Consider the following 22,215-nt stretch of genomic DNA (forward strand, 5'->3'; position numbering starts at 1 on the left):
GGGGAGCTCTTGGTCCCGCCTCTCCTGAAATGGTGCGCCACGCCTCCTCCTCTTTATTACCAATCGAATGCCGCCCCTGAGCCCCTTTCTTCCTTTTCCCGCCATCTCAGACCTCCCATCTTGGCCTTCGGGCCCAATCAGGGAGGCCCTACCTATCCGAAACCCGGTCCGTTCCCCGCGGAAGAGGGGTGGAGTTTCAACCTTTTAACTCCACCTTGGTCTGTGCAGCGCGGACCAACCCAAATCGCCAGAAAGGAGGGGCGTGGCTTGAAGTCCCCTCCTCCATCCCGGGGATCACGTTTTGCCTGGGGGAGCTGATCGCAAGACTAGGCAACCTCCAGCCAGTCCCTGGGTCGGGCGGATCCTCCCAGAGGTGGCACAATGGAGCGATCTCCAGGAGAGGGCCCCAGCCCCAGCCCCATGGACCAGCCCTCTGCTCCCTCCGACCCCACTGACCAGCCCCCCGCTGCTCACGCAAAGCCAGACCCAGGTTCTGGGGGCCAACCTGCTGGCCCTGGCGCGGCGGGTGAGGCCCTGGCGGTGCTGACTTCATTCGGGAGGCGGTTGCTGGTGCTGATACCTGTGTATTTGGCCGGGGCAGTGGGACTCAGCGTGGGTTTCGTGCTCTTCGGCCTCGCCCTCTACCTGGGCTGGCGCCGGGTCCGCGACGAGAAAGAACGGAGCCTTCGAGCAGCGAGGCAGCTACTGGACGACGAGGAGCAGCTCACTGCGAAAACTCTCTATATGAGTCATCGAGAGCTACCTGCCTGGGTGAGCGACCACCCTCGGTCCTCTGTGCAGCATAGCCCCCTTCCACCCCTTCCATCTGGGGCTTTTCCTCCTTATGCCTAGAGTCAGCTCCCTGCCTTGGGACAGTGGGCCCCAGACTTTCCCCTCTCTCCCCGCTAGCCGCCTGCCTGCTGGACGCGCCACTCTTGGAACCGACTGCTCACTCTCCCCACCCACCCTTTCGCATGCCCAGACTGGATCCTTCCACAGAATCAGGACTTCTTCCTCTACTTGGGCAACAGCAGTAATAACATCTGGGGACCCCGTCTCAGCCGAAGCTCTCCCTCCTAGCCAAGCCATCTTGAACGTCCCTCTTGCTTTTGGTGCCACTCGCGGCTTTGCTGCTCCTGGAAATCCTGGTCCCGTTACCTCTCAAAGGTTTCCCTAGTCTTTCCCATCCTCCTCGAGACTTTTTACCTACTTAAAGCCATACGGTTCTCTCTTTTCTCGCTTTTATCCCCGGGTACCCGCTAGGACCCAGCCCCGGCCCCTGGACGACCCTCGGGCAGCCACCTTCAAGCCTCCAGCCGCCAGACTGCAGCGCGGCAGAGGCGGCTGCTGGACGGAGGGAGGGCTACGGGAGGAGGTGGTGCGGCTGCTGCAGTGCCCGCGGCGCACACTCCCCCGCACTCCTCGGCCGGCCACACCCTTTTCCGGACTGTGGGCTGCGCTTGTTCCGTTGGGGCAGAGACCCTTATTTCTGCGGCGGCCGCGTCTCCTGTGCTGAGGCGGATGCCTTCTCTCTAGTCTTGCAGAGGCGAAGCCGGTTACCCGGCCCCTCCCAGCAGAGGTGCCAGTCTAGGGGGAGAATGGCAGCAGAGAGGAATCAAAATTGACACTAGACAGACACAGCCAAGCTTCCCAGGCCCTGGACTGGAAAGGGGAGGAGAAAGAGGGCCAAATGGCTCTAGGGGACCTGTAGCCTAGGCAGCAAGTGTTTGTCTCCTCCTCATCATCATGGAAACCAATCTTCCTACCCCCAATACAAAGCGCAGGTGTCCTTTCCCTTAAAAGGAGTCACACAGAGAAAGATAGAGGAAAACACACACACACACCCCAAAAAACCCACAAAGCCAGGCCTAATTAGGTCTTCTGGCCCCTCCCTGACTCAAGGAAGGACTTGCTTCCCTCTTCACCTTCCTGCTCTAGAAGCCCCGTCTGAGGGGAGTTGAGAAGGCTGGAAAAGGGGACTTTTTTTTTTTTCTTTTTTGAGACGGAGTCTCGCTCTGTTGCCAAGCTGGAGTGCAGTGGCCCGAACTTGGCACACTGCAACCTCTGCCTCTTCAAGCGATTCTCCTGCCTCAGCCTCCTGGGTAGCTGGGATTACAGTCACGCGCCACCACGCCCGGCTAATTTTGTATTTTTAGTAGAGACAGGGTTTCACCATGCTGGTCAGGCTGGTGTCGAACTCCTGACCTCGTGATCCGCCGGCCTCGGCCTCCCAAAGTGCTGGGATTACAGATGCGAGCCACCGCGGCCAGCCTGGAACCAGGACTTTTTAAATCCCAGGATTCCCTCAAACTCCAATTTGACTGGACCTCCCCCTCCAGAAAGAATGCGCCCTTCTCCTCCTCCCGCTCCTCTCTCTCTCAGCAGCTGTCATTTCACCACGTCCCTGAGCTATCCACAGGGCAACAGCGTGACCTCTACCTTGTCAGCTCCCCTTATTAGAGAGACATCAGCCCCCAAACTCTGTGAGGAATGAACCTTTGGGGCATCCTCGCCCCTCGCCCACCCTGAGTGTGAGGAGTCACACACACTCCCTCTCCTCTGTGGCACACCACCAGCATCTTAGTAGGAAACCAGAGGCGAGGGTGTGCTGCACGTCACTGTCTCTGCCTTCCCCACCTCCAGGTCAGCTTCCCAGACGTGGAAAAGGCTGAATGGCTCAATAAGGTGAGGATTGATTTGATTTTTAGTCTTCATGAGGGGAGAATGGGAATTTGTTTCTTCTTGCCAGACCCATCCTCAACCCTCAGTGCTCTCCGTGGGGAGGATTCTGAAGGAACTTGCCTTGAGAGGGAAGACTGGACTCTCCTCTGACCATCTCTCTTTCCTCCCAGATTGTGGCCCAGGTCTGGCCCTTCCTGGGCCAGTATATGGAGAAGCTTCTGGCTGAAACTGTGGCTCCGGCTGTTAGGGGATCTAACCCCCATCTGCAAACATTTACATTTACACGAGTGGAACTGGGTGAAAAGGTATGTGTGGAGGAGGGAAAGTGAGGAGGTAGGCTAGGGAGGGTGAGTGGCCCGGAGTAGACTCAGGTACTTCTCCCTATCCCTGCCCTCTCTCAGGAATTTCTCTCTCCCTAGCCATTGCGCATCATTGGAGTCAAGGTTCACCCAGGTCAGAGAAAAGAGCAGATCCTGCTGGACTTGAACATCAGGTAATACCACTCACCACTCTTACTGCTTCCCCTTCAATGTGTCCTGTTCAGTCCAGGCTACTTCACTCCCCCTCCCCGCAACTTCAGCCAAGGACTAACTCTCTTGGTTCTCTTCTTCACCAATCCCCAGCTATGTAGGTGATGTGCAGATTGATGTGGAAGTGAAGAAATATTTTTGCAAAGCAGGAGTCAAGGGCATGCAGGTAGGCCAGATGTCAGGGGCCACATAATAGGGAATGTTTGTCCTGCGTTTCATGGGATATGGGGAAGTGTGAGGTTGGAAAGACCAAGGCTGAGAAAGTCTGGGAGGACAGAAGAGGGACTTTTCTGGGGAAAGGCTTTGATTTTCTCTTCTTGCCTCAGCTACATGGCGTTTTGCGGGTGATACTGGAGCCACTCATTGGGGACCTTCCCTTCGTGGGGGCTGTGTCAATGTTCTTCATCCGACGCCCGGTAAGGGAAAACAATGAAGGGGTATGGGGAAGCAGGAGAAACAGAGGACTGGGAGGATGAGGGCAGCCAGTGAAGGGGAATGAGAAGGGAACTGACAAGAAGGCCGAGGGGTTCTGGCAACTGTTTGATGGGTATGACCACACCCCATAGGATCTGTCCTGACCCCTGCTCTTTCCCTCCAGACCCTAGACATCAACTGGACAGGGATGACCAACCTGCTGGATATCCCAGGACTTAGGTATCAAGGACTTACTGAGCACCTGCTGAGTGTTCCAGCGCTGGGTTGGGGGTTTAAGGGACACAGAGCAGTCAAAGATGCTGCTTGTGTCCTCTAGGAGCCTCAACTTCATTTGGGGAGCAAAGACAAATACCCCTGCAAAGTTTGATACTGTGATTTTTCTTTGGGTTGGGGGAGCAGGAAGGGAATGCAGAGGGCTGAAGACTGCAAAAGGCAATGGGGATGGCAGTGAAGAAGGGAGAGAGCAGTAGGTGGGGAATTAGGGTAGAAGAGTAGCACAAAGGATTTTCACAAAAGGACTTTCTTACAGCTTTAGGTCTCTCTTGGGTGTGGGAAACATAGTTGGGGTTAGGAGAAAATTGGAAGTTGAGGCCATACCCACTCCTTTCTACTCCCCCATTCAGCTCACTCTCTGACACCATGATCATGGACTCCATTGCTGCCTTCCTCGTGTTGCCCAACCGATTACTGGTGCCCCTTGTGCCTGACCTTCAAGATGTGGCTCAGTTGCGTTCCCCTCTGCCCAGGGTATGGCCTTTCCCCCACTAGATAGATCCTTCTCTCAGGAACCCCTTGCTGGGTCCTTAGTTTCTCACCATCTGATTCCTTCCTCCAGGGCATTATTCGAATTCACCTGCTGGCTGCTCGAGGGCTGAGTTCCAAGGACAAATATGTGAAGGGCCTGATTGAGGGCAAGTCAGACCCATATGCACTTGTGCGTTTGGGTACCCAGACATTCTGCAGTCGTGTCATTGATGAAGAACTCAACCCACAGTGGGGAGAGACTTATGAGGTGGGAGAGTTGAGCAGCTCTGTGAAATGGGGAAGCCCCAGGAGGTTGTGAGAGAAGATGCTGATTGGATGATCCTCACAGCTGCAGCCCCATGAGACACTCAGCCTTCTGTGTTCCCCAGGTGATGGTACACGAGGTCCCAGGGCAGGAGATTGAAGTGGAGGTGTTCGACAAGGATCCAGATAAAGATGACTTTCTGGGCAGGTGAGACTCTGCCTGTTAGGATTCTAAAGCCCATGCTGGCCAGGCACGGTGGCTCATGCCTGTAATCCCAGCACTTTGGGAGGCTGAGGCGGGCGGATCACGAGGTCAGGAGATTGAGACCATCCTGGCTAACACGGTGAAACCCCATCTCTACTAAAAATACAAAAATTAGCCGGGTGTGGTGGCGGGCGCCTGTACTCCCAGCTACTCGGGAGGCTGAGGCAGGAGAATGGTGGGTGAACCCGGGAGGAGGAGTTTGCAGTGAGCCGAGATCGCGCCACTGCACTCCAGCCTGGGCGACAGAGCGAGACTCTGTCTCTAAAGAAAAAAAATAAAAATAAAAAAAATAAAGCCCATGCTACCGAGGTTCTGGAGGTAATTATACTCACTTTCTGGGCCTGGGAATCATGTATCATTTTCCTTCCTAACCTCCCCACCCCCAGCCCCTACCATGCACATACTCACGCATGCAGGTGAATATCTTCTGAGAGGAATAAGGGAGTCTGAGATCTGCCAGTCATTTCTGGGTGGGTGAGTGGAGGGCCACTGACATGCTGCTAATTACAACACTACCCTTTTCTTCCTTTCACTACCCTCTCCCCCGCCAACCCTCAGAATGAAGCTGGATGTAGGGAAGGTGTTACAGGCTAGCGTTCTGGATGATGTAAGTTGGGAGAAGAGGAAGGTGGGGGCTGATCTCACCCTTTGGGTAGATAGTAGTTGCTACATTGGTAGGGAAGTAGTTGAGCAGGTATCTGATCTCTACTACATCTCAATTTCTTCTAGTGGTTCCCTCTACAAGGTGGGCAAGGCCAAGTTCACTTGAGGCTAGAATGGCTGTCACTTTTGTCAGATGCAGAGAAACTGGAGCAGGTAAGCCACATGGGAAATAGGAAGCTGGCAGGGGAGAAATAGGTAGCTGGAAGTGTAGGGGACTTGGAACGGGGACCAAGATCTGACTACTACCACCCCTCCCCAGGTTCTACAGTGGAATTGGGGAGTCTCCTCTCGACCAGATCCCCCGTCAGCTGCCATCTTAGTTGTCTACCTGGATCGGGCCCAGGATCTTCCTGTGAGTTTGGCTGGGTGAACAGGAGCCCTGGATGTAACATTCCCCAACCCTGCCTTGCTGAGGATGCAAATGTCCCTGCCTGCTTTGCTCCAGAAGTATCAGCATGTAACATAAGGGTCCCAGGGAGGGGATCAGATCCATCTCAGGGAAAGGATTCTGATGCGATCCCACCTTCCTTCACCAAAACCAAAACCGAATCCCCCAAGATGGTGACCTCTGAATTGTACCCACCACAGCTGAAGAAGGGGAACAAGGAACCCAACCCTATGGTACAACTGTCAATTCAGGATGTGACTCAGGAGAGCAAGGTGAGGGCCAGGACATCATTGTGGGTGGCCAGGTAGGACAGGGAGAGGCCTATTCTTGGGATGGTTTCCCCTTTAGAATGCCTGTTACATGCAGGGGTTTTCTGCAGAAACAGGAATGGTGCTGTGGTATACACCCTTAATCCCTCCTCTACATCTCCAGGCTGTCTACAGTACCAACTGCCCAGTGTGGGAGGAAGCGTTCCGGTTCTTCCTACAAGACCCTCAAAGCCAGGAGCTCGATGTGCAAGTGAGATAATCACCTCTTCATCCCCTCCCGAATACCCTATTCTGACTTCCCAGATCTGTACCATTTCTCCTCTCCTTCTTTTCCCTTGATTCCTATTTTTAATCCATCTACCTAGACTCCCCACCTCCCTGAATATCTCTCCATTGTTCCCCAACTGTCGCTCCAGAATAATATTTTTTTTTTTTTTTGAGATGGAGTCTCGCTCTGTTGCCCAGGCTGGGGTGCAGTGGTGCGATCTCGGCTTACCGAAACCTCCACCACCTGGGTTCAAGCAATTCTCCTGCCTCAGCCTCCCGAGTAGCTGGGATTACAGGCAGGCACCACCATGCCCGGCTAATTTTTGTATTTTTAGTAGAGACAGGGTTTCACCATGCTGGCCAGGCTGGTCTCGAACTCCTGACCTCAGATGATCCGCCTGCCTCAGCCTCCCAAAGTGCTGGGATTATAGGCATGAGCCACTGCACCTGGCCTTAGTTCATAGGTACTTGTTCTTGAATGATTTTATATATGTGTGTCTTGTCTATGAAACTGGCCAGTAAGCATTGTGAAAGCAGATGCTATGTTTCGTGCTTTCTCCATGACCTTTAAAATGCTGAATGTTAACAATTTTATTGAGGCATAATTTACATACCATAGAATCACTCATTTTAGGTATACAAAAATTATTCTGAGGCTGGGCACGGTACCTAAAATGAGTGATTTTATGGTATGTAAATTATGCCTCAATAAAATTGCTAACATTCAGCATTTTTTTTTTTTGAGACAGTTTCGCTTTTGTTGCCCAGGCTGGAGTGCAATGGCGTGGTCTCGGCTCACCGCAACCTCCACCTCCTGGGTTCAAGTGATTCTCCTGCCTCAGCCTCCTGAGTAGCTGGGATTACAGGGATGTGCCACCATGCCTGGCTAATTTTTTTTGTATTTTTAGTAGAGACGGGGTTTCTCCATGTTGGTCAGGCTGGTCTCGAACTCCCAACCTCAGGTGATCCGCCCGTCTCAGCCTCCCAAAGTGCTTGGATTACAGGCGTGAGCCACCGTGCCCGGCCCAACATTCAGCATTTTAAAGGTCATAGAAAAAGCACAAAACATAGTATCTGCCTTCACAATACTCACTGGCCAGTTTCAGTTTCATAGACAAGACATACACATATAAAATCATTCAAGAACAAGTACATATGAACTAAGGCCAGGCATGGTGGCTCACACCTGTAATCCTAGCACTTTGGGAGGCCAAGGCAGGTGGATCACCTGAGGTCAGGAGTTTGAGAATAGCCTGGTCAGCATGGTGAAACCCTATCTCTACTAAAAATACAAAAATTAGCCAGGCATGGTGGTGCGTGCCTGTAATCCCAGCTACTTGGGAGGCTGAGGTAGAATTGCTTGAGTCCGGGAGGCGGAGGTTGCAGTGAGCCAAGATAGCGTCACTGCACTCCAGCCTGGGTGACAGAGTGAGACTCCGTCTCAAAAAAAAAAAAAAAATCAAAAATTTGCCAGGTGTGGTGGCATGTGTCAGTAATCCCAGCTACTTGGGAGGCTGAGGCAGAAGAATCATTTGAACCCGGGAGGTAGAAGTTGTAGTGAGCTGATTTCAAGCACTGCACTCTAGCCTGGGTGACAGAGCAAGACTCTGTCTCCAAAAAAAAAAAAAAAAAAAAAAGGAACAGAAGAATAGCAACAATTACATATGAATTTGTGGGAGTAAAATATCCATAGTATAGGACTAAGGAGGGTCAGAGAAAGGGATAGGCTGGAGTAACTAGGGAGATTTTGTGAAGCAAAAAATTGGATTTTAATTGAGTCTTGAAGGATGAGTAGGATTTAAATAGGCCGAGGGAAGAGAATGAGGACTTTCCAAATAGTGGGAGCAGAATGAACAAAGGTGGAAGGGGCCATGGATTGGGCAGAGGACTATAAAAGATGGCTCTGGCCGAGGTGGGCGGATTGCCTGAGCTCAGGAGTTTGAGACCAGCCTGGGGAACACCATGAAACCCTGTCTCTACTAAAAAATACAAAAATTTAGCTGGGCGTGACGGCATGCGCCTGTAGTCCCAGCTATTTGGGAGGCTGAGGTAGGAGAATGGGTTGAACCCAGGAGGTCGAAGTTGCAGTGAGCCAAGATGGCGCCATTGCACTCCAGCATGGGCGACAGAGTGAGACTCTGTCTCAAAAAAAAAAAAAAAAAAAAGATGGCCCTGAGTGGAGCAGGAGGTTTGTGATTGGTACAGAGAGGAATGAAGTTGGAGCCATGTTATCATTTTCACAGTATGCCTCCCTTTCCCCTAATCCCTTCACTACAGTCCTTCCTCCTGTGCCTGTAGGTGAAGGATGATTCCAGGGCCCTGACTTTAGGAGCACTGACGCTGCCTCTGGCCCGCCTGCTGACTGCCCCAGAACTCATCCTGGACCAGTGGTTCCAGCTCAGCAGCTCTGGTCCAAACTCCAGACTCTATATGAAACTAGTCATGAGGGTATGGAAATAGAGGAGGTACTGAGGTGTGGGGGAAAGGCCTGTTGATTCTTTGGTATTAAGAGTAAGGAAAGGGACCCCCCTAAGATTAAAAGAGCTAATACATGTAGAAGTGCCAAGCAGGCACAAAAACATATATTGATCTGACTGGTGGAAGGAATGGCTTATGAGTTGAGGGGGTGTGGAGGGAACCCTGTAGAGATGAGCCCAGCCAGGGCAGCACCTAGTTCCCCTGTCACAGCCCCTCCTCTACCCCACCCCACATGCTTTGCCTGCTGGTGACGAGCTGCACTTCTTTGATTCAGCATCATACTACCCTTCCTAGATCCTGTACTTGGATTCATCAGAAATATGCTTCCCCACGGTGCCTGGTTGTCCTGGTGCTTGGGACGTGGACAGTGAGAATCCCCAGAGAGGCAGCAGTGTGGATGCCCCACCTCGACCCTGTCACACGACTCCTGATAGCCAGTTTGGGACTGAGGTGAGTCTATATCTGGAAAGGACTAGGGTCTGTTTGCCCCGCTAAGTATGCAAAGCCTGTTTCAGGGCAGATTCTGACAGGTCTCTCTCCCTTTGCCATCTGGCACCCCCCCGTCCCTTTTGCAGCATGTGCTTCGGATCCATGTATTAGAGGCCCAGGACCTGATTGCCAAAGACCGTTTCTTGGGGGGACTGGTGAAGGGCAAGTCAGACCCCTATGTCAAACTAAAGTTGGCAGGACGAAGCTTCCGGAGCCATGTTGTTCGGGAAGATCTCAATCCCCGCTGGAATGAGGTTTTTGAGGTCAGAATTGAGTGGCTGTGACTCCTGGTTCTGCCCCATTTTTCCCCCAATCCCAAAAGTGGTCCAGAAACCTCTGAGGTTCAGTTGACTGGGGGGTCCAGTCATTTGCAGAGGAAAAGGAGAGAATCTTTCATCTGCACTATTTTCTCCCACTAGGTGATCGTCACATCAGTTCCAGGCCAAGAGCTAGAGGTTGAAGTCTTTGACAAGGACTTGGACAAGGATGATTTTCTGGGCAGGTGAGAGCATAGGAGTCTACGTGAAAAACAGGCTGGGGCTCTTTAGGCCATGGAGTCTGGCCTCCTTGGTTCTCACCATCTAGCTTTTGTCTTAATCTTTCTCTTCAACAGGTGTAAAGTGCGTCTCACCACAGTCTTAAACAGTGGCTTCCTTGATGAGGTGAGCATTGAATTAGAGTCAACAACCCCTCCTGATCCTGCCCAAGCTTCATTCTCAAAGTTCTCCTGTCTGCATATCCCCAAGTCTTCACCCTGCCTACTTCCACAGTGGCTGACCCTGGAGGATGTCCCATCTGGCCGCCTGCACTTGCGCCTGGAGCGTCTCACCCCCCGTCCCACTGCTGCTGAGTTAGAGGAGGTAGGGCAGGAGACTTGAGGAAGGAAGGGACCCAAGGTGGGGCAGGATGAGCTCTTCTCTTAGCGTTCAAGGCACATGCCAGAACCCAAGGTGTCAGTTACCACTCCCCAGCCCCGTGTGCCCCTCCACAGGTGCTGCAGGTGAATAGTTTGATCCAGACTCAGAAGAGTGCGGAGCTGGCTGCGGCCCTGCTATCCATCTATATGGAGCGGGCAGAGGACCTCCCGGTGAGATCCCGCTCCCCATGCCCCATAACTTCCTGGCCCTTCTTCCACCTTCCTCCGGTTTGGATGGTCCTGGAGTATTTAGAATAAGAAAAATGGCCCCTCTCTTTCTGAGGGTAGTGCAGGGGTGGGAAAAGTTGTCTGTTCAAGGCCACGGGTAGTGGCTGCCAAGTAATAATGGAGACATGGCTGCTGGCTGTGGATATAATTTGTGAGGGGGATCTGCCTAACTAGGTCCAAATTTAAGACTAACACAGTATTGTCTTTCTAGCTGCGAAAAGGCACCAAGCACCTCAGCCCTTATGCTACTCTCACTGTGGGAGATAGTTCTCATAAAACCAAGGTATGAAGAAATGCTGCAGGGTAAAAATGGGAGGGATAAGAGAAATAAGAGTATCAGCTACTGATCATAAGCCCTCATCTCCACCAGACTATTTCGCAAACTTCAGCCCCTGTCTGGGATGAGAGTGCCTCCTTTCTCATCAGGAAACCACACACTGAGAGCCTAGAGTTGCAGGTACTGTAAATTCATTCTTCAAATATTTAGCAGATTTCTGCCATGGCCAGGCAGGAAACCAGGCACAGAGCATTCAGAGATGAGATAAAAGGTTGACTTTTTTTTTTTTTTTTGAGACAGAGTCTTGCTCTGTCGCCCAGGCTGGAGTGCAGTGGTGCTATCTTGGCTCACTGCAAGCTCCGCCTCCTGGGTTCACACCATTCTCCTGCCTCAGCCTCCCAAGTAGCTGGGACTACAGGTGCCCGCCACCACACCTGGCTAATTTTTGCATTTTTTTTAGTAGAGATGGAGTTTCACCATGTTAGCCAGGCTGGTCTCGAACTCCTGACCTCAGGTGATCCGCCCACCTCGGCCTCCCAAAGTGCTGGAAATACAGGTGTGAGCCACCGCACCCGGCCAAAAGATTGACTTCTTATCTTTATGGAGCTCACACTCTGTTTTGGGAGAAAAATAACCAGATGAAACTTTCAGAATGATAACTGAGGTAAAAGGCACTGTGGGGAAGAAAGGAAGGGTTCAGGCTGGGGAAAGGCTGGAGATAGAAAGGCATCCTTAGATGACCCCTGAGCTTGAGGGTAGATTTTTTTTTTTTTTTTTTGAGACTAGAGTCTCACTCTTATTGCCCAGGCTAGAGTGCAGTGGCGCAATCTCAGCTCACTGCAACCTCAGCCTTCCAGGTTCAAGCGATTCTCCTGCCTCAGCCTCCCGCGTACCTGGGATTACATGCGCGTGCCACCATACCCCACCAATTTTTAGTAGAGACGGGGTTTTGCCATGTTGGCCAGGCTGGTCTTGAACTCCTGACCTCAGGTTATCCATCCACCTCAGCCTCCCAAAGTGCTGGGATTATAGGTGTGAGCCACTGCACCCGGCCTTTTTTTTTTTAGACAGGGTCTTACTCTGTCGCCCAGGCTGGAGTGCCGTGGTGCAATCAGGGCTCACTACAGCCTCAACTCTTGGGCTCTAGCAATCCTCCTACCTCAGCTGGGATAACAGGTGCACACTACCACACCTAGCTAATTTTTGTATTTTTTTGTGGAGATGAGGTTTTACCATGTCATCCAGGCTGGTCTCGAACTCCTGGACTCAAGCATTCTGCCCGCCTCGGCATCCCAAAGTGCTGGGATTACAAGCGTGAGAACCGCGCCCCAGCCTAAGGGTAGATTTACTGGTTCTTTCGGACCACGAAAAGAAGAGCAGGAAAACTCTTTAGGCTGAGAAAAAAAATGGAGGAGAGAGAAGGCATATTTATTATAGATCAGAGAGGCAGGCAGAGCAAGATCATAGGAGCTGTTGAATAGTATGCTAGAAATATGGATTTTATCCTAAGGCTTAGGGAAGCCTTTGTTTATTTTATTTATTATTTTTTTGAAACAGAGTCTTGCTCTGTTGCCCAGGCTGGAGTACAGTGATACGATCTCAGCTCACTGCAACCTCCCTCCTGGGTTCAATCGATTCTCCTGCCTCAGCCTCCCGAGTAGATGGGATTATAGGTGCCCGCCACCACGCCCAGCTAATTTTTGTATTTTTAAGAGAGACGGGGTTTCACCATGTTGGTCAGGCTGGTCTCTAAGTCCTGACCTCAAGTGATCCACTGCCTCGGCCTCCCAAAGTGCTGGAATTACAGGCGTCAGCCACCACACCCAGTCAGGGAAGCCTTTAATGAGAGGTCACATATCCAGATTTGCATTTTGGGAAGATCATAGGGATAAGAGGGTAAAGAATGGACTGGAGAGGGACAACACTGGGGGCAGGGAGATCAGTGAGGAGACTGTTAGAGCAGTCAAAGCAGGAAACGACTAAAGCCTGATGGGATTTGAAGATTGCTGTGATATGGAGCAGGTGGAGGAGCAAGGAACAGCCTAGACACTAACTCTGGGGTTTTTGGCACAGGGTGGCTAGATGGATAAGGGTGCCGTTGCTGACTTAGGGAGTGCACAGAGAGGGAATTTTGGAATTTGAGATCTCTGCAGGACATCCAAGAGAAGACATGCAGAAAACAAATCTATTGTCCATGAGGTGTTCCTCCCTTGCCCTCTTATTGGAACATCATGAGCAAGCAACCACTCATAAGTGTAGTCATGGGTGAGATCTCTTAGGCAGCGTGGAGAGTGAGGAGACAAAAGATGGCCATGAGCCATCTTACAGGTGTGAACCACTGTGCCCGGCTGAAATTAATAGAATTTAAAATAATGTAACTTAATGCTAGCAGAGTAGAAAGGAGGTACAAATGAGCTCAGTTCTTCATCTTTTATAGCAGGGAATCAATAGATACAAGCATATTAGAATTCCGTGAGAACAAAGAAAACAGGAGGGTTTTAAAGGTTGTTACATTTGGAATATGGCAATAGGAGTAGGATGGGCAAGAAACATTTACTTTTAGTTCTGTTTTTACTGTTGTTTTCTGTATGCTGTAGGTATTACTGGTATAATTTCTGAAAGCTAGGTTGGGCGCGGTGGCTCACGCCTGTAATCCCAGCACTTTGGGAGGCCAAGGCGGGCAGATCACAAGGTCAGGAGATCGAGACCATCCTGGCTAACACGGTGAAACCCTGTCTCTATTAAAAATACAAAAAATTAGCCGGGTGTGGTGGCGGACACCTGTAGTCCCAGCTACTTGGGAGGCTGAGGCAGGAGAATGGCGTGAACCCAGGAGGCGGAGCTTGCAGTGAGCTGAGATTGCGCCACTGCACTCCAGCCTGGGCAACAGAGCGAGACTCCGTCTCAAAAATAATAATAATAATTTCTGAAAGTTTATGAGGTAAAGATGGTCCACTCTACTCTGGTTAAGAAAGGAAGGACAGGCCAGACACAGTGGCTCACACCTGTAATCCTAGCAATTTGGGAGGCTGAGGTGGGTGGATCACCTGAGGTTGGGAGTTTGAGACCAGCCTGACCAACATGGAGAAACCCCAGCTCTACTAAAAATACAAAATTGGCTGGGCGTGGTGGCAGGTGCCTGTAATCCCAGCTACTCAGGAGGTTGAGGCAGGAGAATCGCTTGAACCTGGGAGGCGGAGGTTGCGGTGAGACCAGATCACGCCATGCACTCCAGCCTGGGCAACAAGAGCGAAACTCTGTCTCAAAAAAAAAAAAAAGGAAGGAAGGACAGAGGGAGGGACTAGCAACTGTTACCATGGCTTCCCTGCCTTTCTCAAAGGGAAATCTCACCAAACCACCTATGAGTCCAAGCGTTTGGACCTTTAAAACACCAGGATTAACTCATTTGTTGATGCATTCGCCTCTTGATCATGGTCCTGTTGCCCCACAGGTTCGGGGTGAGGGCACTGGCGTGCTGGGCTCATTATCCCTGCCCCTCTCAGAGCTCCTCGTGGCTGACCAGCTCTGCTTGGACCGCTGGTTTACACTCAGCAGTGGTCAGGGGCAGGTGCTACTGAGAGCACAGCTAGGGGTGAGTGACAGGAGATGGTGGGCAGGATGAGAGGGAGGAGGGGAGGGCCTTCACAGGTGAGGGACACCCAGGAGGGTGGGAACAGAGGGCCGTGTCCTTAGAGTGAGGGAACTGAGAGAACTCTGCCCAGCTCACAGCTTTCTTGCCCCTAGATCCTGGTGTCCCAGCACTCGGGAGTGGAAGCTCATAGCCACAGCTACAGCCACAGCTCCTCATCGCTGAGTGAAGAACCAGAGCTCTCGGGGGGACCCCCTCACATCACCTCCTCAGCCCCAGAGCTCCGGCAGCGCCTAACACATGTTGACAGGTAAAGGGCTGGGACAGGAAGGTGGGACGCAGTCAGAAATAAAAAGTATTACAGGTTCACTAGGCTCTAGCTTTCCCCAGACCTACTGATATTTCTCCACAGTCCCCTTGAGGCTCCAGCCGGGCCTCTGGGCCAGGTGAAACTGACTCTGTGGTACTACAGTGAAGAACGAAAGCTGGTCAGCATTGTTCATGGTTGCCGGTGAGACCCCATCCCTCCTGTCCTCCAGATCGCCTCCATCCCTTCCCTCAGGTTACCATATCACCTACATCCTCCTGTTGTAGGTCCCTTCGACAGAATGGACGTGATCCTCCTGATCCCTATGTGTCACTGTTGCTACTGCCAGACAAGAACCGAGGCACCAAGAGGAGGACCTCACAGAAGAAGAGGACCCTGAGTCCTGAATTTAATGAACGGTCAGTCAGTGGGCATTCAGGTGGAGAGATGGCAGGCTTGGAAAGGACTCCTGGCCCCTAACATCCAGTCCTACCCCAGGTTTGAGTGGGAACTCCCCCTGGATGAGGCCCAGAGACGAAAGCTGGATGTCTCTGTCAAGTCTAATTCCTCCTTCATGTCAAGAGAGCGTGAGCTGCTGGGGAAGGTAAGAGGGCAGGATGGCAGGGCAGAGGTGAGGGCTGGAAGCTGCTGGCACCAAGGTTATAGTCCCTGTGAGGAAGGAAGTACCCCACGTGATCCTTTAGAGGTGACTCACCTCTGCAATGGTTTGGGACGAGTATGTGATGAAGGAACATGGTCTTTGGAGATTTCAAAACAGCATCATCAGAATGAGATCCTGTCTCAAAAAATAAAAGAAATAACATCTTTCCCCTATCATCTTCCAACACAGGTGCAGCTGGACCTAGCTGAGACAGACCTTTCCCAGGGTGTAGCCCGGTGGTGAGTGTCTGCGTGGGTGGGGGATGGTCTGGATATTTCAGTGGGAGAAATTCCAATCACAGGAAAGGAAAAAAAGATACAATCTGAGCAGAGAACCATTGATTCTATCAAGTAGAGAAGCCCTTGGATCGTGTCTCATTTATAAATATGATGACACAAGAGTCATCTTTCTACATGAGCCCTCTTTTCACAGGTATGACCTGATGGACAACAAGGACAAGGGCAGCTCCTAGGAGCTGGCGAGTCCCAGCCTGACTGCTCTGTCTTCCTGCCTTCGTCTCGCTCCATCACCGCCTCAATGTGATGAGCCTAAAGCTAGGGTCCAAGGGCAGAGCCTGTGCCCTTCAGCCCTTTCACCTAACAGGCCCATATTCGGGCCTTTGCCTGACCAAAGAGAAGAACCGTATGTTCCCTTTACTGCACGGCCTTTATCCTTCTGGGCCCCTGGGGCGGGGACCTGAGCTGGCTGTTTCCTGCTTTGCCTGCACATTGTTCTCCCTTCCTCCCAACTCCTCAGGGCCTTCTGTATCTGTGCCTGGCCAGTGGCAGCACTAGCAGTGGTATTAGCTTATGCCAAATACAGCTTTGGAAGGATCTTTTTTTCTTTAACTAGATGGTCACCTTCTTCCCTACCACACATGGGTGGGAAGGTGGACAGGCTAACCTCTCCAGCTGTGAGCCTCTTAGACTACTGCATGTAGCAAATGTTCAGCAGCTCAGGCCCCCATGTCCAGTTCTGTCCCCACTGTCCTCAACCCTGTCCTGAAAATTCTACTGCTTTGATGGCTGGGGCCAGTCTCTTGTCACTTTGGAAACTGAGGACGCGTGGATTCTACTCAAGCCTCCAAGTAGTGGCATATCAGTCTTGGAGCTCCTAGCTGGTGATACGGAGAGGGCTTTGGAGGACTTGGGACAGCAGGGCCAATTTTTTTGCCCAAGTGCCTAGGCTGCTAACTCACTGACTAGAACTTAATCTGGTACTTTACAGTTTTGCACCAACTCTGCCAAGCCACTGGATCTTACATTAAACATCATACTCAAACCAGCTGTGGTTCTTTTCCTTAAGGATAGGGAATCAATCTACCCATCTGATGTTTATTCCTACTGTCAAAAGCCTTTATCCAATTCGTGAATCATGTCAGTTTAATTAATGGTCAAAGCCTACTAAGGTTGCAGCCACCAAGAATGTTGAGGATGGTCAAGAGACCTGTGTAAAGTAGCTGCTGTTGCATTTCAGGTGAGACTCATTTCCAGTCACAGTGATGAACTCTGTTACCCATCCAACTTGTCTGCTGACCACTATAGGCTTTCCAGGGAAGGGATTCCTAAACCTGGTAAACCTGGGAGCTCTGTGCCACTGCACAGGCTCCTGGTGTCTCTGTGCCACTGCACAGGCTCCTGGTGTCTCTGTGCTGTCAGGGCATGCTCAGCTACATTCAAAAGGGCTTCAGGCCCATCTAGCAGGAGCTGAGAAATACACCCATTTCGATCATCTGTACACCTTGAACTCTGCTCCTTGCAAGAACTTTCCTGGAATGCAAGCTAGAGAAGCTGTGCTCCATCTGTTCTGCCAATTGAAAGGAGAGAGATGGACAGAGTGAACTACTGAAAACAGGGTCACTGGCATAGGAACTTGGGGATTTCATAACTGACTCAGAGAGACTTTACTATCGTCTCTTGAAAAATATAAACCTTCCTTAGGATGCTGCCCACTGGGAGAAGAGGGAAGACTCAGGGGAAAGGATTCCTGCTCAGTTCCACAAGTTGTCGAAATTTGCTTAATTAGCAAAAACTGAATTTAAACTCCACACTGTCCACAAACTCAGCCTCTATGTTCTCAGTGACCCTTTTGTATTCACTGCTGGTTCCTCTACCATCTCCACTTCCTTCCCATCAAAGTAAGAGGACCCCAAGCCTTGGCTTTGAGCAAGGAGGTCTTATTTATTTGCTCCATTCCCCAACTCCGGCTCTAAAATCACAGGGGGAAAAACTCCAAAAACAGAGCAAAGAAAATTTTTAAGGTCTCTTGTCAAATTTCTAGATACTGGCCACGCGCAGTGGCTCACACCTGTAATCCCAGCACTTTGGAAGGCCAAGGCGGGCGGATCACGAGGTCAGGAGGTCGAGACCATCCTGGCTAACACGGTGAAACCTCATCTCTACTAAAAATACAAAAAAATTAGCTGGGCGTGGTGGTGGACGCCTGTAGTCCCAGCTACTCGGGAGGCTGAAACAGGAGAGTCGCTTGAACCAGGGAGGCGGAGGTTGCAGTGAGCCAAGATGGCGCCACTGCACTCTAGCCTGGGCGACACAGCGAAACTCCATCTCAAAAAAAAAAAATTCTATGGCGTGAACCCGGGAGGCGGAGCTTGCAGTGAGCCGAGATCCCGCCACTGCACTCCAGCCTGGGCGACAGAGCGAGACTCCGTCTCAAAAAAAAAAAAAAAAAAAAAAAAAAAAAAAAAAATTCTAGATACTAGCTGGGCATGCAGCCCAAGGCCTGCTGTTCTAGCTGGCTTCAGATAATACAACCTAGGATTTTGTAATGTGTGATTTTAAGAAAACATTCTTGAGCTAGTTTATCACTTCAAGTAATTACATTTCCAGAAAACTAGAGGACATGGCACAAATTCTTCCATCCCAGAAGGGTCCCTACTCTTTCCTAACCTTTTTGAGTTCAATATATATAAGGGAAGAGGTACTACTATACATATTAAATACAAGATGATGGCTAAGTGTGATGGCTCATGCCTGTAATGGCAACACTTGGGGAGGCCGGCCGAGGCAGAGGATCCAGAGAAAACTACCACCCTTAAAAAAAATTAGCCAGGCTTGGTGGTATGCACCTGTAGTCCCAGCTACTCAGGAGTCTGAGGCAGGAGGATCGCTTGAGCCCAGGAGTTCAATGTAATAGTGAGCTAGGCTCGTGCCACCACTCTACTCCGCCCTGGGTGACAGAGTGAGACCTTGTCTCCAAAAAAAAGAAAAAAAAAAAAAAAGATAACAACCAGAAAAAAGAAAACAACTAAATACATACAAGATGAGACACAAAACACAATTGCACATTTATATATGAAGATGGAACACATTTTAAGGGTCATTAGTCACATGAATTAAATATACTTCTGTCATTTCTCAAACAACTGACTTTTAACACACATACACGATGCACACCTTTTCTGGAGAAAGATATGACTGCATATGGTTACGCTATCACTGATTGCAAATACTATCCTCTTGGAATGTGTTTTTATTGGACCAAACAACGTGCTGTAGTTAACTAGGTGTGGCAACACAGTTGTCTACCCAACAGCCATTTCCCCTCTTCCCTACATACAGAATCCCAGAATGTCCCTGGTGGCAGTATGCCAGCCCCAGGAAATTAATCAAGATCCCCTTTGCTGAATAATCACTTTCCCTTGCAAGTTGAAATGACCCTGACCCAGTTTTGGTCAACAAGATGTTAGAGGAAGTCAGGGACTGTAGCATCTAAAGAAGAAAGCCCTCATTGCCCCTTCCTTTCTGCGTAGGTTATTGGTATGAGGATATTATGTCTGGAACTGCAGCAGCCTTTTTTTTTTTTTTCTTTTTTTTTCTTTTTGAGACAGAGTTTTGCTCTTCTCACGCAGGCTGGAATGCAATGGCGTGGTCTCGGCTTGCAGCAACCTCTGCCTTCGGGGTTCAAACAATTTTCCTGCCTCAGCCTCCTGAGTACCTGGGATTACAGGCACCTGCCACCATACCCAGCTAATTTTGTATTTTGAGACAGGGTTTTCATCACGTTGGCCAGGCTGGTCTCAAACTCCTGACCTCAAATAAGCTGCCCGCCTCGGCCTCCCAAAGTGCTGGGATTACAGGCATGAGCCACCGTGTCAGGCCAGCAGCAGCTTTTTTTTTTTTTTTTTTTTTGAGACAGAGTCTCATTCTGTTGCCCAGGCTGGAGTGCAATGGTGTGATCTCGGCTCACTGCAACCTCCACCTTGCGGATGCAAGTGATTCTCCTGCCTCAGCCTCCTGAGTAGCTGGGACTACAAATGCCCGCCACCACGCTGGGCTAATTTTTGTATTTTCAGTAGAGACGGCGTTTCACCATGTTGTCCAGGCTGGTCTCGAACTGACCTCAGGTGATCCGTCTGCCTCGGCGTCCCAAAGTGCTGGGATTACAGACATGAGCCATTGCACCTGGCCATGAAGATATTTATATACATCTCACATTATTTCCTTAAGTGGGGCCAGGCGCCGTGGTTTACACCTGTAATTCCAACACTATAATCCCAGCACTTTGGGAGGCAGAGGCCAGCGGATCACGAGGTCAGGAGTTCAAGACCAGCCTGGCCAACATAATGAAACCCCATCTGTACTAAAAAGACAAAAATTGCTGGGCGCGGTGGCTCACACCTGTAATCCCAGCACTTTGGGAGGCCGAGGCGGGCAGATCACGAGGTCAGGAGATTGAGACCATCCTGGCTAACACAGTGAAACCCTGTCTCTACTAAAAAATACAAAAAATTAGCTGGGTGTGGGACGCCTGTAGTCCCAGCTTCTTGGGAGGCTGAGGCAGGAGAATGGCATGAACCCGGGAGGCGGAGCTTGCAGTGAGCCAAGATTGCACCACTGCACTCCAGCCTGGGTGACAAGAGTGAGACTCCATCTCAAAAAACAAACAAACAAACAAAAACTATAACAACTAAATATAAGAAATAGCCAGGTACGGTGGCGCACGAATTTGAGGTTGCAGTGAGCTATGATTGTGCCACTGCATCCAGAGCCTGGGCAACAGAGCAAGCCCCTGTTTCTCGGGGGAGAGGAAAGGAAATGTATACAGAGGCCGGGCGCAATGGCTCATGCCTATAATTCCAGCACTTTGGGAGGCCAAGGCGGTGGCTCACCTGTCAGGAGTTCGAGACCACCCTGGCCAACATGGCAAAACCTTATCCCTACTAACAATACAAAAAAAAAATTAGCCAGGTATGGTGGCACACACCTGTAATCCCAGCTACTTGGGAGGCTGAGGCATGAGAATCACTTGAAACCAGGAGGTGGAGGTTGCAGTGAGCTAAGATGCACCACTGCACTCCAGCCTGGGCCACAGAGCAAGACTCCTGTCTCCCAAACAAAACACAAAAAGGAACGTATACTGAATAAACATGCTTGAAGAGAGCAGCTAAAGGGCCCTAATACAATCTCCTTCTGCTTCTCTTCCTCTCAACCTTTTCCACTGTGCTCTCTGGGAGCCTATTTCCACATAACACTTCCCACCCATTCCACCTTTCTTTTTTTTTTTTTTTTTTTTTTTAGGGGGGTACAGAATTTCACTCTTGTTGCCCAGGCTGGAGTGTAATGGCATGATCTCGGCTCACCACAACCTCCACCTCCCGGGTTCAAGCGAATCTCCTGCTTCAGCCTTCCTGAGTAGCTGGGATTACAGGCATACACCACCACGTCTGGCTAATTTTGTATTTTTAGTAGAGACAGGGTTTCTCCATGTTGGTCAGGCTTGTCTCGAACTCCCGACCTCAGATGATCCGCCCACCTCGGCCTCCCAAAGTGCTGGGATTACAGGCATGAGCCACGGCGCTCAGCCTTTCTCTTTTTTTTTTTAGATGGAGTCACCCTCTGTTGCCCATGCTGGAGTGCAGTGGCACAATCTCAGCTCACTGCAACCTCCGCCTCCTGGGATTCTCATGCCTCAGGCTCCCAAGTAGCTGAGATTGCAGGCGCCTGCCACCACGCCTGGCTAATTTTTGTATTTTTAGTAGAGACAGGGTTTCACCATGTTGGCCACGCTGGTCTCAAACTCCTGACCTCAGGTGATCCACCTTCCTTGGCCTCCCAAAGTGTTGGGATTACAGGAATGAGCCACTACGCCCGGCCTGCTTTTTTTAAAAAATTTTTTAAGGACAGGGTCTCACTCTGTTGCCCAGGCTGGAGGGCAGTGGCACAAACATGGCTCACTGCAGCCTTGACCTACTGGGCCCAAGTGATCCTCCCACCTCAGGCTCCTGAATAGCTGGGATCAGAGGCACACGTGCCACCATGCCTGGCTAATTTTTGAATTTTTTTTGTAGAGTTGGGGTCTCTTGCTATGTTGCCATGGCTGGTCTTGAACTTCTGGGCTCAAGTGATCTTCCCACTTTGGACTCCCAAAGTGCTGGGAATGTTCATGTCTGATTAACCCCAGTTTTGGGAATGCCTCTAAGATTTCTATTTTATCTACTGTTCTTTGTGTAAGAGCATGTACTTACCATAATTTCTCCTTAGATCAAAACAATCTTGATCATAAAGCCTGGCTTACTGAGTATTCTTGCCTTTCCCTGCAGGGTAGACTTCAATTGTCCTAGAGGTTCCTTCCCTGTGGTAAGTCCTGGGGTCAGGACTTACTCCAGGGGATGATGTCCTGGGGATCCACCATCGTGTCTCACCACTACCCAAGACACAGACATGGCTTCTGTTCATAAATTCCTATTAAATATTTCTAAGAAACTGGATTTGTCAGCCTCCTTCCTCAACCTCTTAGCTTCCTT

General features: G+C 50.6%; 1 protein-coding gene and 1 long non-coding RNA gene across 4 annotated transcripts in view, besides 7 other annotated features; one reads left to right on the top strand and one right to left on the bottom strand.

Moving 5' to 3' along the window:
• Positions 1 to 662: an enhancer, noted in NCBI's record as "NANOG-H3K27ac-H3K4me1 hESC enhancer chr12:56521723-56522384 (GRCh37/hg19 assembly coordinates)". NCBI's record gives its function as "activates a minimal SCP1, AML or CMV promoter by ChIP-STARR-seq in primed H9 embryonic stem cells {active_cell/tissue: H9 hESC(primed)}" and the evidence as "EXISTENCE:reporter gene assay evidence [ECO:0000049][PMID:30033119]".
• Positions 1 to 717: a biological region, named in NCBI's record as "NANOG-H3K27ac-H3K4me1 hESC enhancer GRCh37_chr12:56521723-56522384".
• Positions 198 to 267: a silencer, noted in NCBI's record as "silent region_4545". NCBI's record gives its function as "represses an Ori minimal core promoter by ATAC-STARR-seq in GM12878 lymphoblastoid cells {active_cell/tissue: GM12878}" and the evidence as "EXISTENCE:reporter gene assay evidence [ECO:0000049][PMID:35858748]".
• ESYT1 (extended synaptotagmin 1) lies at positions 329 to 16,736 on the top strand. 2 transcript variants are annotated; one of them, NM_001184796.2, is made up of 31 exons: positions 329 to 771; positions 2,644 to 2,685; positions 2,853 to 2,987; positions 3,102 to 3,175; positions 3,306 to 3,378; positions 3,539 to 3,628; positions 3,811 to 3,866; positions 4,271 to 4,394; positions 4,483 to 4,659; positions 4,781 to 4,863; positions 5,479 to 5,527; positions 5,650 to 5,736; positions 5,843 to 5,935; positions 6,142 to 6,243; positions 6,404 to 6,490; positions 8,806 to 8,955; positions 9,280 to 9,435; positions 9,561 to 9,737; positions 9,894 to 9,976; positions 10,088 to 10,136; positions 10,245 to 10,334; positions 10,466 to 10,561; positions 10,830 to 10,901; positions 10,989 to 11,075; positions 14,347 to 14,487; positions 14,640 to 14,794; positions 14,897 to 14,995; positions 15,079 to 15,210; positions 15,290 to 15,395; positions 15,642 to 15,691; positions 15,885 to 16,736. In NM_001184796.2, the coding sequence occupies exons 1-31, from the start codon at positions 382 to 384 to the stop codon at positions 15,922 to 15,924; spliced, it is 3,345 nt and encodes a 1,114-aa protein (NP_001171725.1). In that variant the 5' UTR covers positions 329 to 381; the 3' UTR covers positions 15,925 to 16,736. The 2 variants fall into 2 exon arrangements, with proteins under 2 accessions (NP_001171725.1, NP_056107.1); NM_015292.3 differs by having other exon boundaries at positions 6,172 to 6,243.
• Positions 468 to 717: an enhancer, noted in NCBI's record as "active region_6473". NCBI's record gives its function as "activates an Ori minimal core promoter by ATAC-STARR-seq in GM12878 lymphoblastoid cells {active_cell/tissue: GM12878}" and the evidence as "EXISTENCE:reporter gene assay evidence [ECO:0000049][PMID:35858748]".
• Positions 1,038 to 1,137: an enhancer, noted in NCBI's record as "active region_6474". NCBI's record gives its function as "activates an Ori minimal core promoter by ATAC-STARR-seq in GM12878 lymphoblastoid cells {active_cell/tissue: GM12878}" and the evidence as "EXISTENCE:reporter gene assay evidence [ECO:0000049][PMID:35858748]".
• Positions 1,318 to 1,377: an enhancer, noted in NCBI's record as "active region_6475". NCBI's record gives its function as "activates an Ori minimal core promoter by ATAC-STARR-seq in GM12878 lymphoblastoid cells {active_cell/tissue: GM12878}" and the evidence as "EXISTENCE:reporter gene assay evidence [ECO:0000049][PMID:35858748]".
• Positions 14,715 to 15,914: an enhancer, noted in NCBI's record as "BRD4-independent group 4 enhancer chr12:56536437-56537636 (GRCh37/hg19 assembly coordinates)". NCBI's record gives its function as "activates an origin of replication core promoter dependent on BRD2, P300/CBP, MED14 and CDK7 cofactors, and independent of BRD4, by STARR-seq in HCT116 cells {active_cell/tissue: HCT116}" and the evidence as "EXISTENCE:reporter gene assay evidence [ECO:0000049][PMID:35650434]".
• The window catches only part of LOC124902943 (uncharacterized), a 10,766-nt gene continuing 3,720 nt past the window's right edge, over positions 15,170 to 22,215 (bottom strand). For both annotated transcript variants that reach the window (XR_007063328.1, XR_007063329.1), the window contains exon 2: positions 15,170 to 15,587. This is a non-coding gene — a long non-coding RNA (uncharacterized LOC124902943). The remainder of the gene's footprint in view (positions 15,588 to 22,215) is intronic.

Source organism: Homo sapiens, chromosome 12, assembly GCF_000001405.40.
Source record: "Homo sapiens chromosome 12, GRCh38.p14 Primary Assembly".
NCBI lineage: Eukaryota > Metazoa > Chordata > Mammalia > Primates > Hominidae > Homo > Homo sapiens.